This window comes from Homo sapiens, chromosome 12 (assembly GCF_000001405.40).
Source record: "Homo sapiens chromosome 12, GRCh38.p14 Primary Assembly".
Taxonomy (NCBI): Eukaryota; Metazoa; Chordata; class Mammalia; order Primates; family Hominidae; genus Homo; species Homo sapiens.
This window is the reverse complement of record NC_000012.12, coordinates 22,647,138-22,668,558: the sequence shown is the minus strand read 5'-3', so window position 1 is coordinate 22,668,558 and position 21,421 is coordinate 22,647,138. Positions and strand designations below refer to the sequence as shown.

The 21,421-nt window shown below is 34.0% G+C and overlaps 1 protein-coding gene across 5 annotated transcripts in view; it reads right to left on the bottom strand.

The window, feature by feature from the left end:
* ETNK1 (ethanolamine kinase 1) overlaps window positions 1–21,421 on the bottom strand; it is a 65,495-nt gene that overhangs the window by 22,107 nt on the left and 21,967 nt on the right. For 3 of the 5 annotated variants that reach the window (NM_018638.5, XM_017019580.2, XM_047429100.1), the window contains exons 3-4: window positions 9,405–9,545; window positions 7,354–7,496 (exon numbers count right to left, since the gene is read on the bottom strand). In NM_018638.5, the coding sequence (NP_061108.3) occupies window positions 7,354–7,496; window positions 9,405–9,545 (284 nt within the window). Of the gene's footprint in view, window positions 1–1,303; window positions 1,878–7,353; window positions 7,497–9,404; window positions 9,546–11,738; window positions 12,128–21,421 lie in introns of those variants that run through there. The other 2 variants (XM_017019581.2, XM_005253420.5) reach the window with 2 other exon arrangements.

Below are 21,421 nucleotides of genomic sequence, written 5' to 3'. Positions count from 1 at the left end.
CAAGACACAAAGCTTAAAAGGAAAAAAATTTAAAAAAAAAATCTGCATTAACTATTCTTTTTCAAACTATTGCAAACAAAGTGGAACTCAACCTTAAATTTAATCTTCTGCAACAAAGTAAAATTTAAAAAGCCAACTTCCCTTAGTTAGGGTGCCAGAAAAATCAAATTACTGGAAAATGCTTTCCTAACAACAGAAAATATACTTTTTCCTTCTATAAATTTAACTTCTGATTTCTAAAATTTCGCTTTATTTAAACGAATATCCACATCAGCATTAATAATTAACTAGCTCATATAGCATGATCATCATCTCAGTTCTTTAAGACATGAATTTTTAATTGGGGTTTCAAGGATGAAAAGACAACTAGAATATTCCCTAAAATTTTATGTGTATGTGCACTTTCTTAGGAAGAGATTCTCAATTTTTCAGATTCTCAAGGGACCCCTGACCTTTAAAAAGTAAAGAACTACTACTTTAAGGGCTAGGTGTGTTATTTTATTTATCTTTATGTAATTATCACAATGACAAGCACAAAGTAAAGTATATGATTAATGGATAAAACTACAATTTGAATTTTCCAAACCTACATTTTGTCTTTTATTACTTTATTTCTTGCATATCTTTATCAGCGTAATCAAATCCCGACACTACTGGTTAAACTGTTCAAATCTTAGTATACTAAAAATACTCTGCCAATTTTTAAAGTACTTTAAAACTAAAAAATAATAATGTATTACCCAAGGCTATATAATTATCACATGACATGTTTGTCTGAATTCCTTTATTTTGTTGTTAGGAGAAAGGAATAAAAATGAAAAGCAAAATAGTCAATATGAGAACCTGAAAAATCTTTCCAACTCACCCTACTTGCTCTGCAATGTTAGGCAGGTTCGAAGAGAACGATACGAAAAGTAACTATAATCCTACTAATGTTAGCAAAATGTTTTCTATTTTATACAGAAAAAGACAGGGAGTATTCTAGTCTGAAACACTTTCCCTTTAATCTTCACGCTGGTGTCCTGTAGTACTCTGTACCCCTTCACCAGAGCACTCATCATTCTAAATGTAAGTATCTGTTCAGTGATTGGACTCCTCCACTACAAGATACACAGCCTCCTGGAGGGGCACTAGGGTCCCTTCCCTCTTTTATCCTGCAATCCACAGAGCAATCCCTAGGACACAGGAAATATTTAAATGCTAGTAGAAAAAATGAAGTTTGCAGAAAATGCTGACACACAATAACACGTTTGCTGGGGGAGGGGAAAAGACAAAAAAGCATGAAAAACTAAAGAAAAAAGTGTGGTGTTTCTGACATTTTTATTCAAGTACAAGACTGAACACAGTGGGCCAGAATGAATGAATGAAAAAACAAACAAACTAGTACCTATATTAGGTCACTCTTTCTTCATAACTTCAGGTTTTTACAGTTCATTTAAGTTTTTTATTATCTGACTTACAGATATTTTATTTTCTGCTAACTAGTGGTTGAGAATACAAATTAAAACAGAGTTAAAAATTAAACTACATTTAAAAACACCACCCTAGAAAACATAGTTTACCAAACACAAAAATCAATTTGTATTTATTTAAATTTTTTAAAAGTACCAATGAAAAAACTCTTCTCAGTCATTAAAACATGAGTAACATGACAACTACAAAGCTTTCTCAGGAGTAATAATAGAATGGATAAGATTTAGAGCCAAACAAGTGACTATGGGGACTCACCCATTTTCTATTTATATTGTATAGAACTCTTAAAACAAAGCAAAATAAAACAAAACCTGATTTACTCTTTAATTCCCAGAAAAAGCTTTCCTTTTCTTCCACTCATTTGTATTTCCTTAAACAGCTGTAAATCAGCTTCTTGTATTGTGCTGACAGAGAAAATAAACAGTGATTGCCATTACTGAAATTTAAAGTTAAATATTAGGTATTTACATGAGCTTTTATGAAGAAATGGGGACAGCAGGAGAAATGAAAGTCACCAAAAGTCATGAGACCAATAAACATTCTGAGAGAACATCAAGACATGAGATAGAAATCTCAACAGCTTTAGTAATTTCTTGATGTCAGTAGTTAAATGATTAGTTGAAATTAAAATATTAGATTTGAAGTTAGTCATAGGCAATATTACAATTTATTCTGCTTAATATAAAGTCTATTAAATTAATGATTGATTTAAAAGATGACTGATAATTCCTATAGTTCTGGAGCAAGAACTGCTGCTTTTGGTTTCCTTATTATATATCAAATTCTATCACCATATCATTAAGTATTCTTTTCTTACCTTTTCAGGATGTCATTTCACTGAAGGCAAGGAATGGGCCGCTGCTTACCAATCACCTAATTCCTGGCACTAACTTTTCAAAAATCTTGACAGCTACCATCAACTTCAGAAAGGAAGCTCACTCTTCTCCCATGTCCTGAGTCCTGTCAACTGACATGGTGAGAGCAGGTAGAGGCAAAATTTCTTCCCGTGATGCCTATCTGTTCCAATAACATTCGCATGTAAAAATGCCTACAAACTGCAGGGTGCTCATAGTATGTGTGCCTTGTGTGTAAATATGTTATGTATACATATGCTCATATATATATATACACACATTTGTAATTCTAAATTAATCTCTCAAGTTATAGTTAAGATAGAAACTGAAAGTTGCACTTAAACTGAATTGTCACATCATATCTATCTGTTAATTAAGTCCTATAACTACCTACTAGTAGTTATAGGACTTAACTACCTACTATCTAGCCTATAGTAACCATTTTTCATTTTTTCAGAATCAGGTATATTTTGTAAAACAAATGCTATAAACATAATACAGGGTTGGCAAACCATGTACCTTCAGCTCAAATCCAATCCACCACCTATTTTTGGAAATAAAGTTTTATTTGAACACAGCTCACTCATGTATTGTCTATGGCTGTGTTCATGCCTCAACACACAGCTGAAATGTTGCAATGGAGACTATCCAGCCCACAATGCCTAAAAGTTGTACTACATAGCCCCTTACAGAAAATGTTTGCCAACCCCTATGTTAGTATAATAGCTACAACTAAGAGCTGCTAAGTCCTTGGTCCAGTGCTATATATTTTATATGCATGATCTAAAATCTTGTCAGCATCCATCTGAAGTAGATATTGTCTCTAAGTTACAAATAAAGCAAACTAAAGTTCTAGACTATCAATAGTACAAAAACTGCCTCAGAATCTGTTAAACATAAAATTTCTAAGCCTATCTATAAAAATTATTTTGTAATTGGTCATGGGTGGGGCCAAGAAATCCAAATTTTTTCCCAAGTACCATAGGTGATTCTGATGTAAACTGTCAAGAACAGTCTGTGTTTACATAAAGACATAAAGAGATAAAACGATATGTCTAATACTACTTATTTCTGTAAGTAACTGGGTAGGGATCTAAACTCGAATGTGTTTAGTTCCAAAATCTATACTCTTTCTGACTTCTCTTGATAGTAACTAAGCTATAAATATATCTGCTTTTAAGAGTTAGAGATTTTCTAGTACAAAATCTAAGTTACTATGGTTTAAACATATATGTAGAGACATCAAGATAATCCAGTATAAATTTAAGAAGTTTGCCTAAAATTTGTACTTCTGAGAAATTAAGGGTCTGAAACATACTGCAGACAAATACTGAGCTTGATGATTCCAAGGCCAGTCCCCTGGCTTTCATCTTATTACGTTTTATCTATTGGTATCTCAAAGTTGGGTACACAATAATGAAACCTGGAGCTCAAGTCATATGAATGACTTAAGAAGTAATAAAAAATCAAACATGTTTGTGAATATGCAGCTTAATCATTTATTCTATATGGAAATTATCTTAATCTCAAAAGACTCAACATGGCATTTATATGCTATAATAAGGCAACTAAAGAAGGTAAATAACTGCAGTCTGTATCTTTAATTAACCTTTTCAAAATTGCTGCCATAAGTGTTAATGCTATGCTACAATCTCAAATATATAAAATTTCTTCCTGTGATGTCTACCAGTTCCAATAACATTCACATGTAAAAATGCCTACAAATTGCAGGGTGCTCATAGTATGTGTGCCTTGTGTATAAATATGTTACTTATACATATACCCATATACATACACATTTTAATTCTAAATTAATCTAAATTAATCTCTCAAGTTATAGTTAAGATAGAAACTAAAAGTTCCACTTTTAGTGAACTGAATCGTCATGTCATATCTGTTAATTAAGTCCTATATCTACTAGTTAGATGCTTGCATTTAATATGCAAACATACCTACTAGTTATATTATATGCATATTATATTATTTGCATATTAAATGCAAACATATAACTAGTTTGCATATTACATTTACTCAATATTGACTATTTTTGACTATTAAATTTATTAAATAATATAATTCATACTTTTTAAGTATAAGGCATGGCATCTTCTACTTATAGTAAACACTCAAACATGTCATATAGTTAAATTACCTTAAAACCATTAGCTCCCAATTTGAAACGTAACACTAAAGACTAGGTTAAGTAAGCTTCTTGTCATACTTTAGTTTTAGATTTTTATTTGAACATTCTAACCATATTTCTTAATGCTTATGTTTGAAGTAATCACATAGAAATTACTCTTTTAAACGGATACTATGGGATCAAAACCAGCCTTCCTAATGAACATTATAAAACCACGTAAGGAGAGAGAAAAAAAAAACAGAACATTTCTGTAACTAAGACACATACATAACCACAAAGACAAAGAAAAAACAAATGATACAAACTAGACTTCAATAAAAAAGGCAAATTCTAAAAAATGTATCAAAATAGTTCATCTGTACAGCTGTAAAATTTTTCTGTGAAAGGAAAATTAGACACAAAAGTATAATTCAAGTAACTTGGCACAAAAACAAATGACAACCTTGCATTCTTAAAGCCAAACTGAATAAAGATTTTATGTGAAAACATGGGAACTTTTCACATAACTGATCAATAGTTTAGAGATAAGTGACCACTTAAATAAAAAAGTGAAAATGTATTTTTTAACACCCAAGACAAAGTAATCTGATTTTTTTGGTCCCTTATTTTTTGGTTTTATAAACAAGTTTTGTTCTGTGAAATGAATATGCAAAAGAAACTTACAAAAATAAAAATATGAAAGTTTAAAATTATATTCTAAAGGAAATAACAGATTCTCTTTGATCAACTTGCAGTTAAAAATAAAGCTGAGTGTCCACTTCAAATGTAAGATGAAGTCCCTCACTTGAAATTCCATTATATAAAATGTGTTATTAGGTCCTGCACTGAATTTACAAGCTCATACACTGCTTTAATGCGTAACTAATGCTCTAGTCTCACAAATGGCATTGAGATTTGGTTACCAGTATATAATGTAGTGCATACGTACTATGATAATTATATATAACAGACAATAAGACATTAAAGGACACTGTCAAGTACTTAATGTTTTAGGGTATGCTCGAAATTTTAAAAATGATTCCACACAAGCATTTCAAGATGATTCAAAACAAAAATGTTAGCTCAGTATGTTTTTGAAAAATAGAATCTCTAATCAACATTGAAATATCAAACAAAAAATTCTCAAATATATTTTTGGCAATATGTGCTTAAGCCTACCACTCTTGACAGTGTACCTTTGGTTTTCTTAAAGTGAAAGTCAGCTATATCTATCAACCTTTGTATTTGAATAGTCCCGCTTTACACTCTAAGAAGGGTCATAAACAGTAATTTAATATAATTATGACCATGCTAATGTGAATTCTTAGGCTTTACTATATTTACAACAGCACAATTTTGATTCAAAATCAGCTCTTCCAACTGTAATAACTATCTTCAAAAACTGGTTTCCAGGCCAGGCACAGTGGCTCACGCCAGTAATCCCAGCACTTTAGGAGGCCAAGGCAGGAGGATCACTTGAGGCCACAAATTCAAAACCAGCCTGGGCAACAGAGCAAGATTCCATCTCCACAAAAACAAATTTTGAAATTAGTCAGGTATGATGGCATGTACCTGTAGTCCCAGCTACTCAGGGGACTGGGGCAGGAGGACTGCTTGAGCCCAAGAGTTGAAGGCTGCAGTGAGCCATGATTACACCACTGCATTCCAGGCCTGGGTGACATACTGAGATCCAGTCACTTAAAAAAAAAAAAAAAAAGGAAAGGCCAGGCTCAGTGGCTCACACCTGTAATCCCAGCGCTTTGGGAGGCCGAGGTGGGCGGATCACCTGGGGTCAGGAGTTCGAGACCAGCCTGGCCAACATGGTGAAACTCTATCTCTTCTAAAAAAAAAAAAAAAAAAAAAAAAATACAAAAATTAGCCGGGCATGGTGATGTGCACCTGTAATCCCAACTATTCAGGAGGCTGAGGCAGGAGAATCACTTGAACTTGGGAGGCGGAAGTTACAGTGAGCTGAGATTATGCCATTGCACTCCAGCCTGGGTGACAAGAGTGAAACTCCATCTCAAAAAAGGAAAAAAAAAGGGGGGGGGGGTGCGGGGAACTAGTTTCCTATAAAATGAAAACAGTTTCAAAAACATTTTTTAAGTTAGTAAGACTCCTTCAACCAAAATTTTATTTTTAAATTTCAATTTAGCATTGAAGGGCATCTATCATTTAGCAACCAAACCTCAAACCACTTCACCCAGTAATATAATACAACCGAGTGGTTCTTAAATATGAAAACAGAAATTGAATACAGTGTACAAATATAAACACAAAAACATTTCACCAAAAAGTATCAGTCTACCTCAAAAAATGTTGAAATTATCTACCAAGGTTTCTTGATTACTTTAGTAGATATAAATTTGAGCAACTACAAATAATATCTCCTCCATCTGTAGCTCTCTCCTTAGTATCAAAATATCTAACAAATCAACAATAACTAGATAATGAGAAACCTGGAGACACATTTGTTTTTAATACTGTTGTCCTTCCCAACACTGTGAGAAAATTTTTCTATTTATAAAGCAGTTTAATGTCAATATGTTGATTTTCCACATCCCCCATTACAAGCAGGTACATGTTCAACTCATGAATAACCAAATAAGTTTTGCAATTAAATTTATAAACAAATCATTTCATCATTTTATACCTAAAAATCCCATGGAAATCACAAACTGTTTCTAACCAATTCTAAAAAACATATTTTATACAAATATAAAAAGAATATATATCCTAAATTTCACAGTTACCATAACTTGATAAACTAAAAGAAAATCTTTAAAGGTTTCATGCACGCTCTTACTCCTTGCATTTGAATTTATTTTGTTGATATAGAGATAAAATGACCATTAAGAACATAAAAGAAATCAATTTTACTTACTGCTAAGGTCAAATACCTACCTTGTTTCTCATTGTAGATTATATTCTTACACAATAGGTCATTATGGCAAAGCACAACAGGTGAGCCCAGGTTGGAAAGAATCTCCTTCATCCAAGTCATCTCTTCCTGGAGAATCTGAGAGCTTGGGATATCACTTAGGAACCTTTTAGTTTTAAAAGAAGAGTTATATCTTGTGTGACATTTTTTTCAAGTTTGATTAAGGATTAAAATCTATTTTGAATAAATCCCTTCAATTTAATCGCACATACTGCTGAATTCAAACAACAGACCAATTATTCTATTTCAAAAGTTAGAATAAAGAAAACCTATATAGTAAGTTTAGACATGAATAGAAGAAACTGAGCAGCAATTAAAATGTAGGACAAAAGTTAAAAAACTCACTAAAAACTTGGGTTTCTAAGTAATATATATAGGTAATAGTTAACAATTACTAAGTACTATTCTAAGTAATTTACATTTATGTCAATTTTATAGATGACAAAACTAAGACACAAAGCATTTAATAAATAGAGGTTTAAGTATATTATTTAAAGTTACAAAAATTATTTTAAAAATTAAAAATACATATTTCAAGGTTGAAAGGGTGAATGCAATATAAATCTAAATTCTCAGAAAAGTCAAAAGATTACTGTCTACAGTTGATAAAAAATAAAGTTATCCTTATATAATCCAGTTATGTTAAAAACAGAACTATTATAGAAATTGCCACAGAGTAGTGAGACTGTGAAGGGTGGGAGGCAACATGGTAAGCTGGACTAGAAATCGCGACTTTTTGTCCTATCCTCATCTATACTGATTATTATCTATACTTGTATTAATTTGATTAAAAAATCAAGGAAACAAAATTGGGCTACTACCACTAATTCCTCAATAGCACCAATCAGGCTTACAAAACGGCTATACTCCTTCACTCCTTCCCTTAATACTTTAAGTCATGACCTCTTGATTCTTTCTCCAAAGTCTCTCAAATTACTCCCTGCTTCTCCATTAACAGTATAATACAGATTCTTTTTACATTACTTAATTTGCCTGTTCAGGTGGTTTCTACCTATATTTTCTCCACTACTGTATTCTTCTCTACATACAACTTCCACAAGTAATCCTCATAATGCTCTTTTCAAAATGGTATGACTGGTCAAAACTGCGGTGTTTTTTTTTTTTTTTTTTTTTAAAGGTAGTGTCGAATGAAAATTGTGGGATTCGAAGGATTATAAAACTTAAATCATGAACAAACAAAATGGAATAAAAGAAATACAAAATGTATTTAATATTTTAATTGTGTTTTATGTTCTAGTTGTATTATTTTCTATTGGGGCAAGGGTTTTCTTCCTATTATTTACCACAGCACACCTCCAGCTTTTCCAAAGAATCATTAACCTCAAGGATTTAAAGTATACCTTGGAGAGCCTAGGGAAAAAATATAACTCAAATAACCTTCTTTGAATAACAATAGTAATTTTTAAAACAGCAGCTACCTCAACACTTAAGTGATGACCAGGCACTGTTTTAAAGAACTTTACATATACTATCTCAATCCTCACAAAAACTCTATATGGTTAATATACTACTACTGTAATTTCCATTTTATAGATAAGGAAACAGTTAGGTTAAGTTCCCTAGTTGAATGAGTTACACAACAGAAATGTTAACTAGCAGGACTAAGATTTAATCTCAGTTTGGCTCCAGGCTCTTGTGCTCTTATTCTATATAATACTAGACTTGCCTCTCAACCCTGCAGTATCTTAAAAAGTCAAGAAAAATCTTGCTTCACCATTACCACCTAACTCTTTATTTTTAAGTGGTGTTCCCCTACTTCCACCTCTGCCCCTTGCTGTTGTAGGGCATATTTTTTGGGAGGGGACACTGAGGGGGATGGAGAGGCAGTTATTTCTGTAGTGCTATCTGACAGCCAAAGAATCAATGCTTACTTTACTTCAATGCAAAGAAAGAAAACCAGATTTTATACAATGAAACTTTACAATTACCTTTGAAACCCTATCATAGAGCAAAGCAATGTAAAACATAATTTCAAATGTAAAAATAATTTTACCTTTTATTAATGTCTTCATCTGCAAATCCTGTGGGAATGAGAGAGAAATACTTTCCCATCTTTAGCCAAAGATTAGATTTGGGGATCCAGCCATTGTGTGCATGAATAGCATGGATTTTAGCAAGCTGACGAGCTATTAGCCTGTTTAAAACAAAACCGCATAAAAAGAAAAACTTAAGTATCATAAAGGTCATGTCTCCTGACAAAGATTCTTGATGAAACTTTAGTCAGTCTCCCGAATCTTCTTGTAGACCTACCTGTGCTCTCTCTTGTAAAAACCAGTTTTAGCAAGAACCCTACTGAGTCAGTTTAGCAAGAGTATCCCCACCCTTGATATCTGATCAGGTTCCTTATCCTTCACCATTCCCCAAATTAATTACTCTGATTACTCTGGCCATCTTCAGCAAGAATCATTAGGTTGTTTTACCCAGAAACCCCTTACTTTGATGTTACTCTTAATTTTCCATCCGCCAACCCCGACCCTGCTCCTTGGGTATACATTCCCACTTGCCCATGCTGTATTTGGAGTTGGGCCCAGTCTCTCTTCTCCAATTCCAAAATCCCACAGCTGTGGCCCCTATACCTATATCTCAATGATTCTGAAGAAAGTCAGCCTTATCATGCTTTAACAAGTATCACTGAGTAATTTTTTCTTTAACAGTTATGGTGCTGTGACTCAGAATCAGATTCATCACTGGACCCAGGACCCTATGTTTGCACCTTTGAATTCACGTCTGACTGATTAATGGGGATCCACTGGTGAGTCAGATTCCTGAACCACTGAACATACACTGAAGCTGGCAAGAATTCTGATACTTAAGATTTTGAGTGTACTCTCTGAAACTAGATTGGAGTCCCACGCTTCTTTTGATAGGTACCTCCTAGGCTGGAGGTCCTTCTTTCTCTCTCTCTTTGAGGCCCCTCTGTTCTCTCCATTGGATCCTGCTTCTCCCATGTGAACTTCTCTGTCCCCTGAAATCCCTCTTTTTGAACCTTGACTCTACCAGATCTGTCTACCTAGTTCTTGTTAGCATGATTTTCCTAAGGAACTTCAAAACAAATTACACAGGCTTAGGTACTAACGAAATTCTGATTTAACTGGCCTGGTGTGCAGCCAGGACACTGAGATATTTAAAACCTTCCCAAGTGATTTTAATATGCAAAAACATTTGAAAGCCACTTAAGTAAGGCCCACAGAGAATCTAGTATTGTATCAATCATTAAATAACACATTTTTATTATTATGTTTCTATACTATTGTGAATATTCTTGTTTTTATCTCATTCCTAGTAACTAAAGAGTCCTTATTTTCTTTTGGAGAAACTTCTATCACTCTTACTTTTAGTTCATGTCATTACTACAGAGCTGATCTCAATCCTAACTGCATCACTCACTTCAGTAGTAAGTGAACATATGACCCTGACTTGCTCAGAGCATTCTATCATTCAGGCCACAGTGACTGGTTCAGCACATATTACCCAAGCTAAGCCAGAGACTTAATCCTAATTTTATTGAAGCTATCAACTTTGTTTGAAGCTATTAGAAAATTAGGAAAATTTTCCCCCTGGGGTGGTTAAACCGGTTAGAGAAACCTACTGATTATCATTATGGATAGTCCTAAGGAAAGTTTGTGAGAAAAAAAAAAAGGTAAAAGAATAAACAGAATAAAGTGATATTCCTAATGACATTGTTACAGTCCCTGGATTTACCCCATGTTTGAACTCAGTATTCTCAATTACAAGTACCAATAAATTCTTTCTCCTTTATGCCACTGTAAATTGTCAAATTATCATCCTCAAGCAACAGTATTAGCCTCATCTTTAATCTAATACATTAAAATATTAAAATCCATAACCTTTTTATATATGTGTACTTTGGTTCATACCTCTCAAACAAATGAGTAAATAAACATTTATTTTTATAAACTAAATCATTTTGAATGACCTTCCCTAAGACCATACACTCATGTCCACAAGAATACAGAAAACAAATCTATTTTTATGTTAGTCTCATATATAGGCAGAAAGCTAAGCCCAAATGAACTGTGGTACTTAAGCACCAGGCAACTTGATGGAAAGGCCAGGTGGTGATAAAATCAAAACAAAGGAAAGTGCAAATGCATGCATGTACACGCATGCACACACAGACACACACACACTGTAAGCCAGTTAAAACTGGTTTTAAAACTTCAGAGAAGAGGAGGAAACAAAAAGCTTGAAGAAAGATACAATCTGTGTTACATGAAACACAAGGGGCAATCTATGTCAACAGAATATTATATCTTAGAAATATTTACTGAAATGAAACAGATGATTTAGGAGGGCGTCACAGATATTTAACTCTAACAGATTTTATTTGCTGTGGTTTTTTTAAATAAATGAAAAATAATATCATTTCTAATAGTTTTACCCCAGGGTTTATAAGAGACCCTGATTTGGGGTCTCTTACAAAACGTAATTTTCCCCTTTGCAAAGGGGACACACGTGCTGGAACTGTCAGAACTCCATGACTTCTCGTCTGCTCCATGCTGGATTCAGAACAGGTGTGAAGAGAGGCAAATGTCTGGGAGAGCAGAAGGCCCATGTCACTGGAGGGCTCGGCACAGTAGTTCTGCTTTCAGTGAATAAGCAAAACTCAGGGAAGTAGTCATCCAAGTGCTGCAGTTATTTGGAAATGTTTTCCAAACAGTCTCTTTAGAACTAAGCCGTTTCTGCTCTTCTGATCTGAAACAATCAGTGTAAGTTTACTGAGATCAGAAGACAAGGAGGCCCTGCACATCACACGGATAAAGTCAGACAACTATAATACTTTTGCTGCCTCAAGTTGTTTTTTAAATAAAGTATTTTGAAGTTCATGAGAATCATGCTGCAATATGGTCATTCCAGAGCAAATATATATTTCAAGATGAATCTAAAGCAGTTTTTAAATTACCTGAATTTTCTGTGTATTAAAAAAATGTAATCTTAGAAGCTGTCCAGTTACTCAGCTTATAGTAACTGAAATGACAATTCTACTGTAAATACTTAAAAAATGAATAAAACAGTATGGCCACAACTCCAAGGGGCATTTACAGGTTAATGAAATTTGTTGAACATCAATAGCTGCTAGAAGAGAAAGTATTAACTAATTTTGAAAGTCTTGCCTTTTCTAGCAAGAAGGTAGCTAACGAGCTAAGCTAGGATTTGAACTGATAATGTGATGCAAAGGCCAAGTTGTATCACTATAGAACACCCCTATAACGCTGCACAAAATTAGTTGGGTTTTCATTGTGACTTTGCCACTGTATTTGCATTATGAACTTAAACAAATAATTCATCTGGTTTTTGGGTTCCTTACAAGGAATCAAAATATTTGGCCTGTTATATAGTTTTGAAGTTATCTTTCAGATCTAATGTCATATGTCCCCAAACACCAGGAAAAAAAATTAACATCTACAAAAAATTTGATCTATTTAAACTTTAAAATTCAATAATGACAATATGAACTTCACATACAGATTCATATACAAATATCCTATAGGCTGGGCATGGTGGCTCATGCCTGTAATCCCAGCACTTTGGAAGGCCGAGGCAGGTAGATCACCTGAGGTCAGGAGTTCAAGACCAGCCTGGCCAACATGGCAAAACCCTGTCTCTACTAAAAGTACAAAAAGTAGCCTGGTGTGGTGATACGTGCCTGTAATCCCAGCTGCTCAGGAGGCTGAGGCAGAAGAATTGCTTGAACCCAGGCGGCGGAGGTTGCAGTGAGCTGATATCATGCCACTGCACTCCAGCCTGGGCAACAAGAGCGAGACTCCGTCTCGAAAAAAAAAAAAAAAAAAAAAAAACAAACAAACCCCAAATATCCTATAGACTAACTTGCCATTTCACACTAACTTCCTACAAGTTGGCCGGGCGCAGTGGCTCACGCCTGTAATCCCAACACTTTGGGAGGCCAAGGTGGATGAATCACCTGAGGTAAGGAGTTCGAGACCAACCTGGCCAACATGGTGAAACCCCGTCTCTACTAAAAATAGAAAAAATTAGCCGGATGTGGTGGCAGGCACCTGTAATCCCAGCTACTAGAGAGGCTGAGGCAGGAGAATCGCTTGAACCCAAGGGGGAGGTTCAGTGAGCTGAGATCTCACCAATTGTACTCCAACGTGGGTAACAAGAGTGAAACTACGTTTCAAAAACAAAAACTTCCTACAAGTTACAATAGAAAGATTGAATGCACACAAGTCATGGAGTGACAGAGGTAAAATTTTTCCAAGTATAGTGATTTTTATTAAAAATGTATCAAATACAATTATTCCTTTGAACAAATTTCTAAAATTACAGCTAAAATGAGAATTACTTTTATATAATTTTAAAACATCTGCCACATAAGATGATATATTGTTAATTAAAATGTTAGCATCTTCCTATACAATTCAAAATAGAATAGCAATAATAATAATAAAGATTGCTTTATTAATACAATTGATAAATACAACCACTAAGATATCCTTCAAGGGACAAAGACTGTCTTATTCTTTGATCTGTTCTTGTGGTCAGAACTTAGAGGAGGTACTTAACAGGTATATTCTAAATTAGAGTCAGTTATCTTAGCAACAGACCTGGAATACATTTAGAAATTCACCATAAGACCAGAGAAGTCTTCCACTATTAGGTTTATTGTCAGGTGGATTAAAATCTATTTTGGATTTTTAATAATCTCATGTACTAATAATTGTAACAAAAGTAATGTTTTCTTATACAAAAACCAAATGAGCATCCATTTAAAATACTGCCTATTCTTTGATAATAAAGCCACATCATCTTCTTCTCACACTCCAGAATTCAAGCCAGTATCTACAGGTCTCAGAATTACTGGTCTTTTTTATCTTTTATATAACAAAATTAACATGTAAAGTGTCTTAGTCCTTTCAGGCTGCTTTAACAAAAATGCCATAAACAAGGTAGCTTATAAATGACATAAATTTCTTTCTCATAGTTATGTTCCTTACAGATGGCACCTTCTTGCTGCATTTTCACATGGTAGAAGGGGCAAGTAAATTTCTTTGGGCCTCTTTTATAAGGGCATTAATGCCATTCATGAGAGCTCTACCCCATGACTAATATTGCCAAAGGGACACACCTCTTAATACTATTTCATTGGAATCAGGTCTCAACAAAAGGTTTTTGAGGGAACACAAATATTCAGATCATAGCAGAAAGGAAGGAAGTTGATTTACAACACAAATCTTCTCATGGAAATAAGTACACTTCAATTGTAACCATGGCAGCCACCTATATACTTAAAAACTAGGCTCTGTGAAGAGATTTAAAAAATTAACTATGGCCTAATCACAAGTTCCATACTCATCTAAAATTTTTTATAAATAAGGACTGAACAAAGCATGAAATTTGTAAAGAATGATTTTAAGAAAATTTACAGTTTTTACTAAAAATCAAATTCAGCAGTTGCAGAACAGAAAATCAATACGCAAAAATCAGTTGCACTTTTACACTAACAATGAACAATCTAGAAAGGAAATTAAGAAAACAATTCCATTTACGATAGCATCGAAAAGAAATAAATACTCAGGAATAACCGTAATTGAGGAGGTGAAAGACTTGTAAACTGAAAATAATAAAACACTGCTGAAAAAAATTAAATACACAAATAAACAGAAAGACACCCCATGTTCATGGATTGGAAAACAATATTGTTAATATGTCAATACCACCAAAAGTGATCCACAGATTCAGTGCAATCCCTACCAAAATCCCAAAGGCAATTTTTGCAGAAAAAGAAAAAGCTATCCTAAAATTCATGGACTCTCAAGGGACCCGAGTAGCTAAAATAACATTGAAAAAGAAGAGTAAAGTTGGAAGTCTTTCACTTCCTGATTTCAAAACTTATTACACAAAGCCACTGTAATCAAAACATTATGGTGCTGTCACAAAGAAAAACATACAGATAAATGGAATAGAGCAGAGAACCCAAAAACAAACCCACAATTATACAAACAGTATTCAACAAGGGTGCCAAGAACCTTAAATGAGGAAAGGACAACAACGGGAAAAGAAGAACAATGAGGAAAGGACAACAAAATGTACTGGGAAAACTAGATATCCACATCCAAAAGAATGAAGCTGGACCCTTTCCTTACACCATATATGAAAACTAACTCAAGATGGACCAAAGATCTAAATGTAAGAACTAAAACTATTAAAACTCTCATGAGAAAACATAGGGGGAAACCTTCATCACACTGGATACTTGGCAATGATTTCTTGGATATGACACCAAAAGCACAGGCAACAAAAGTAAAAATAAACTCTACCGCATCAAAATTAAAAACTACGCACCAAAGGACACAATCAACAGACTGAAAAAGAAACCTGCAGAATGAGATAAAATATTTGGAAATCATATATTTAACAAGGAGTTAATATTCAGAACATATAACAAACTCCCACAACTCAACAACAAAAATTACAACCCCATGAGAAAATAGGCAAAGGACTTGAATAGGTGTTTCTCTAGAAAAAGTAAACAAATGGTCAATAAGCATATGTTCAACATTACTACTCATTAGGCAAACGCAAATCAAAAGCACAATGTGATACCACCTCATATCCATTAGAATGGTTACTACAAAAATAAAATAACTATTGGTAAGAATGTAAAGAAACTGGTGCCCTTGTGCACTGTTGATGGGAATATAAAATGGTGCAGCTATTACAGAAAACAGTATGGTGGTTCCTCAAATAATTAAAACCAGAATTACCATTATGATCTAGCAATTCCACTTCTGGGCATTCACCCGAAAGAACTGAAAGCAGGGTATCAAAAACATATTTACATATCCATGTTCACAGCAACATTATTCACAATAGCCAAAAGTGACTATTGCCCAAGTATACATCCATGGATGAATAAACAAAACGTAGTATATAAATACAAAGGAATATTATTAAGCCTTGAAAGAAAATGAAAATTCTGACACATGCTATACAACATAAATGAACCTTGAAGTGTTCATGCTAAGTGAAATAAGCCAGTCACAAAAAGACAAACATTACATGATTCCACTAACATGATGTACCTAAGTAGTCAAATTCCTAGGGATAGAAAGTAGATGACGGTTGCCAGGGGCTGGAGGAAGGAAAGAAGATTTGTTGTTTAAAAAGCATAGAATTGGCCAGGCGTGGTGGCTCACGCCTGTAATCCCAGCATTTTGGGAGGCCGAGGTGGGCAGATCACCTGAGGTCTGGAGTTCGAGACCAGCCTGGCCAACATGGTGAAACCCGTCTCTACTAAAAAATACAAAACTCGGCAGGGCGAGGTGGTGGGCACCTATAGTCCCAGCTACTCGAGAGGCTGATGCAGGAGAATCACTTGAACCTGGGAGGCAGAGATTGCACTTGAACCTGGGAGGCACCACTGCACACCAGGCTGGGCGACATGGCGAGACTCTGTCTCAAAAAAAAAAAAAAAAAAAAGGGATAGAATTGTAGTTTTACATTATAAAAAAAAAATATGTTAGGAAATTAGTTGCACAACCATGTGAATGCAATAACACTATTGAGCTGTATTTTTTAAAAAATGGTTAAGATGGTGACAACTGGAGCCAGAAAGAAATGATTTAGGCAGATAGTGAGGGTAAAGGAGTTCTCGGTAAGGACTCCCTTTTAATAGAAAGCAGCCCCCAAATCACTTCTAACAAAGAGCAGCCTGAAAATTCAAGCTGCAGACATAGATAAGCAAGCTAGAAGCTTGCATGAGTGAATGCCAGCAGCTGTGCCAGTAGAAAAGGGCTACCTGGAAGTCAGGTATGTTCACAACGGAGCCTTCATCTTCCCTTTTCTTTGTCACCATGTGTCTAGTAAAAGAGGCAGGCAACATGGCACTGGCCAAGTAGAGAACCATCTGCATAATAAAAGATTAAAGTGGGGCCACCAGCTTCTACATGCTTTATGCAAAAGGCACGCCTGGTCCGACCAATCTTCCGTGCCCTCTGCAAATCAAACACTGCCTCCTCAAGTTAATCTATAAAACCCTGTACATTACACCACAGAACTGGCAACCCATTTTCTCTGGGACCCCTCTCTGCACAGAGAGCTCTTCTCTTTCTTTTGCCTATTAAACTTCCACTCTTAACCTCACTCTGGTTGTCTGTATCCTAGTTTTCTGTAGTTGTGGAACAACCAACCTCAGGTATTACCCCAGATAAAAATGCTGCTTCAATGGTAAATTTTATGTAGCATTTACCATAATCAAATTTTTTCAGAACAACTATAAACAAATCAAATTTTTATTAACTAAATAAAATGCTCATTGAAAAAGAATTCTTAAAAACACTTTAATCAAGTATACCTCAATTGTTTTCTGCTAGCAAATATTATATACAACAGAAAATGCTACATTTTTATATTTCCTATTTATTTAAAAGATTATTTTTAAATGTTTATTTTTTATATAATATATTTGCTGACACAAAACACAAGCAAATCAAATCCAACAATATATAAAAAGAAATTATACACTGTGACCAAGTGGGATTATCTCAGGTATACAAGGCTGGTTCAATATTTGAAAATTCATTAATGTAATCCAATACATTAACAGACTAAAAAAGAAAAATCACATGAACCTATCGACATGTGCAGAAAAAGCATTTTGCAAAATCTAGCACTCATTATCATAAAAACTCAGCAAACTAGGAATAAAGAGAGAGTATCTTCAATCTGATAAAGAATATCTACAAAAAAAACTACAGCTAACATCCTACTTAATGACACGTAATTTGAAGATTTCCCACTAAGATCAGGAATAAAGAAAGAACATCACTTTTCACCAATCCTTTTTAACACTGTACTGAAAGTCCTAGCTAACACATTAAGACAAGAAAAAAAATAAGAGGTAAGAAAAAAAAAAAACTGTCTTTGTTCATAGATAACATGATTTTCTATGGAGAAAATCCAAAAGAATGGACCAAAAAAACCTCGCGGAATGAGCAATTATAGCAAGCTTGCAGGATTAAAAAAATATGAAAGTCAATTGCTTTCCTACATACCAGTAATGAATATGTGAAAATTGAAAATAAAATGCACTCCTTTTACAGTAACACCCCCAAAAATACAATACTTAGGTATAAATCTAACAAACTATGTACAAGATTTATATGAGGAAGACTATAAAACTCTGATAAAAGAAACCAAATAACTAAATAAGAGATATTCCATGTTCACGGATAAAAAGACTCAATACTGCCAAGATGTCAGTTCTTCCCAATTTGATATACAGATTCAGTGCAATTCCTATCAAAATCCCAGCAAGTTATTTTGTGATATTGAAAAACTGATTCTAAAGTTTACATGTATACTGTATCCCAAATATACACAATTATTATTTGTCAATTAAAAATAAATTCTTAAAAAGTCCATTTTAAAATGTAAAAACTAAAGTTTATAAGGAGAAGCAAAAGGCCCAGAATAGCCAACACAATATTGAAAGACAAGAACAAGTTGGAGGACTAACACTACCTGATTTCAAGACTTACCATAAAGCTATAGCAATTAAGGTAGTGTGATATCTGCAAAAGATTAGACAAACAGATGAAGAAACAGAATAGAGAACCCAGAAACAGACCCATATAAATACAGTCAACTGATTTTTGAAAAGGAGCATAGGAAATATAATGGAGAAAAGATAGACTTTTCAATAAATTGTGCTGAACAACTGGACCTTCACGTGCAAAAACATGAATCTAGACATAGACCTTACACTCTTCATTAAAATTCTGTCAAAATGGATTACAGACCTAAATGTAAAATCCAAAACTAAAATTCCATGAGAAGATAACATAGGAGAAAATGTAGATGACCCTGGATTTGGCAATGACTTTTTAAAAATGACACCAAAGGCATGATCCATGAAAGGAAGAACAGATAAGCTGGACTTCATTAAAATTAAAACTTTCTACTCTGCAAAAGACACTGTCAAGAGAATAAAAAGATAAAGCACAGATTGGAAGAAAATATTTGCAAAACCCATATCCAATAATGGATTATTATCCAAAATACACAAATAGCTCTTAAAATTCAGCAATAAGAACACAAACAACCCAATTTAAAAATGGACCAAATACCTTATCAGACATTTCATCAAAGATACACAGATGAGTAAATAAGCATATGAAAAGATATTCCATATCACATATCAGGGAAATGCAAACAAAAACAGTAAGATACCACTATATATCTATTAGAATGGCCAAAATCCAAAACACTTATAACACCCAATGCTGGTGAGGATGTGGAGCAACAGCAACTCTCATTCATTGCTAGTGGAAATGTAAAATAGCACAGCCATTCTGGGAAACAGTTCGGCGGTTTATTACAAAACTAAATATACTCTTACCATACAATCCAGCAATCATGCTCGTCAGCATTTACCCAAAGGAGTTAAAAATTTGTATGTCTACATTAAAATTTGCACAGGGATTCTTATAGCAGCTTAATTCATAATTGCTAAAACTTGGAAGCAACCAAAATGTCCTTCAGTAGTTGAATGAACAAAATAGATTTGGTGCATATCCAATGAAACATTATTCAGAACCCTAAAAAGAAATCTGCCAATAAGCCATAAAAAGACATGGAAGAAACAAATGCATATTACTAAGTCAAAGAAGCCAATCTAATGAGGCTACTTAATTAAATGACTCCAAATATATGACATTCTGAAAAAGGCAAAACTGTGGAAGCAGTAAAAAGATCAGTGGTTGCCACTGGTTAAGGGGAAAAGAGGGATGAATAGGCAGAGCACAGAGGATTTTTTTAGAGCAGTGAAACTCCTCTGTATGATACTACTAACAGTGGATACATGCATTATATATTTGCCCAAACCCACAGAATGTACATCACCAAGAGTGTACGCTAATGTAAACTGTGGACTTTGGGTGATAATGGTGCATCAATATAGGTTTATGTATTATAACAAAAGTACCACTCTGATATTGATAATGGGGGAGGTTGTCTGTGGAGGAAGGAGGGGATCTGGGAAATCTCTGTACCTTCCCCTCAGTTTTGCTGTGAATCAAAAATGCACTAAAAAACTAAAATCTTTAAAAGGAAAATCTCTTCATTCAGATAACTTAGCATTATTTAATAATCATTAATTTATGTTTTGTATATATAAGAAGGTAATTAAAAATCATTTAAAAGATATCTGATTTTCACTATCATATATTGGTCCTTCTCCTACCTTGTCTCAGTAAGCGAGGTTTTACTACAGTAACATCAAGTCAAACGCTGCTTTAAAATTCCATACTCGTTAAAGCCAAATGTTTCAAACCCTCAAGGCTTCAGAGAATTCCTCAAATATTCACTAACACTAATTGTTACTTCTCTTGAAAGCTTTTAAAAAATTAAATGTATTCTAACAATAACAAAAATATTTTGAAACGAAAAATAATCTTTAATCTTACCATCCCATAGTATTTCATTTTTATATATCCCCTTTGAGTTTTTGCATGAGCAAATTACTGCCTAATTGTAGCCACAGTTAAGCTATTTTTTAAGCTGATTTTTTCCTGTTGCCCTGCATCAGCCATTTTGCATGTATTAGACAATAGTCAAAAAGTTACATTTCAACAGTAGCATAATTCTCCTTTGTGTTGAGGTACCTTAGTTATATCTGAATATAAGAGACTTTTAATTGTTGCTGCCAGAAATACAGCATATAACTTTCTTTTGAGTTATTATATATTGTCCTTTTGATTTCCAAAAGAAAACACTACCAACTGTACATGCACACAACCCACAAGGTGCCAGTTCCACTACGGTACCCTCAGTATGCTCTTTGATAAACTTGCAACAATTGATTTGAAACTGCATTTCTTCCATTATGTCTGTTACTGGATGGTTTGTCATTAAACTTCAGCCAGGTTCTTGACAAGAGGCAAATTTCTAAGAAATATCTGATAAGAAATTTGAAAAAATTTCTAAACACTTTTGAATTTTAAAAAATTTTCTGAAGGTGTCCGT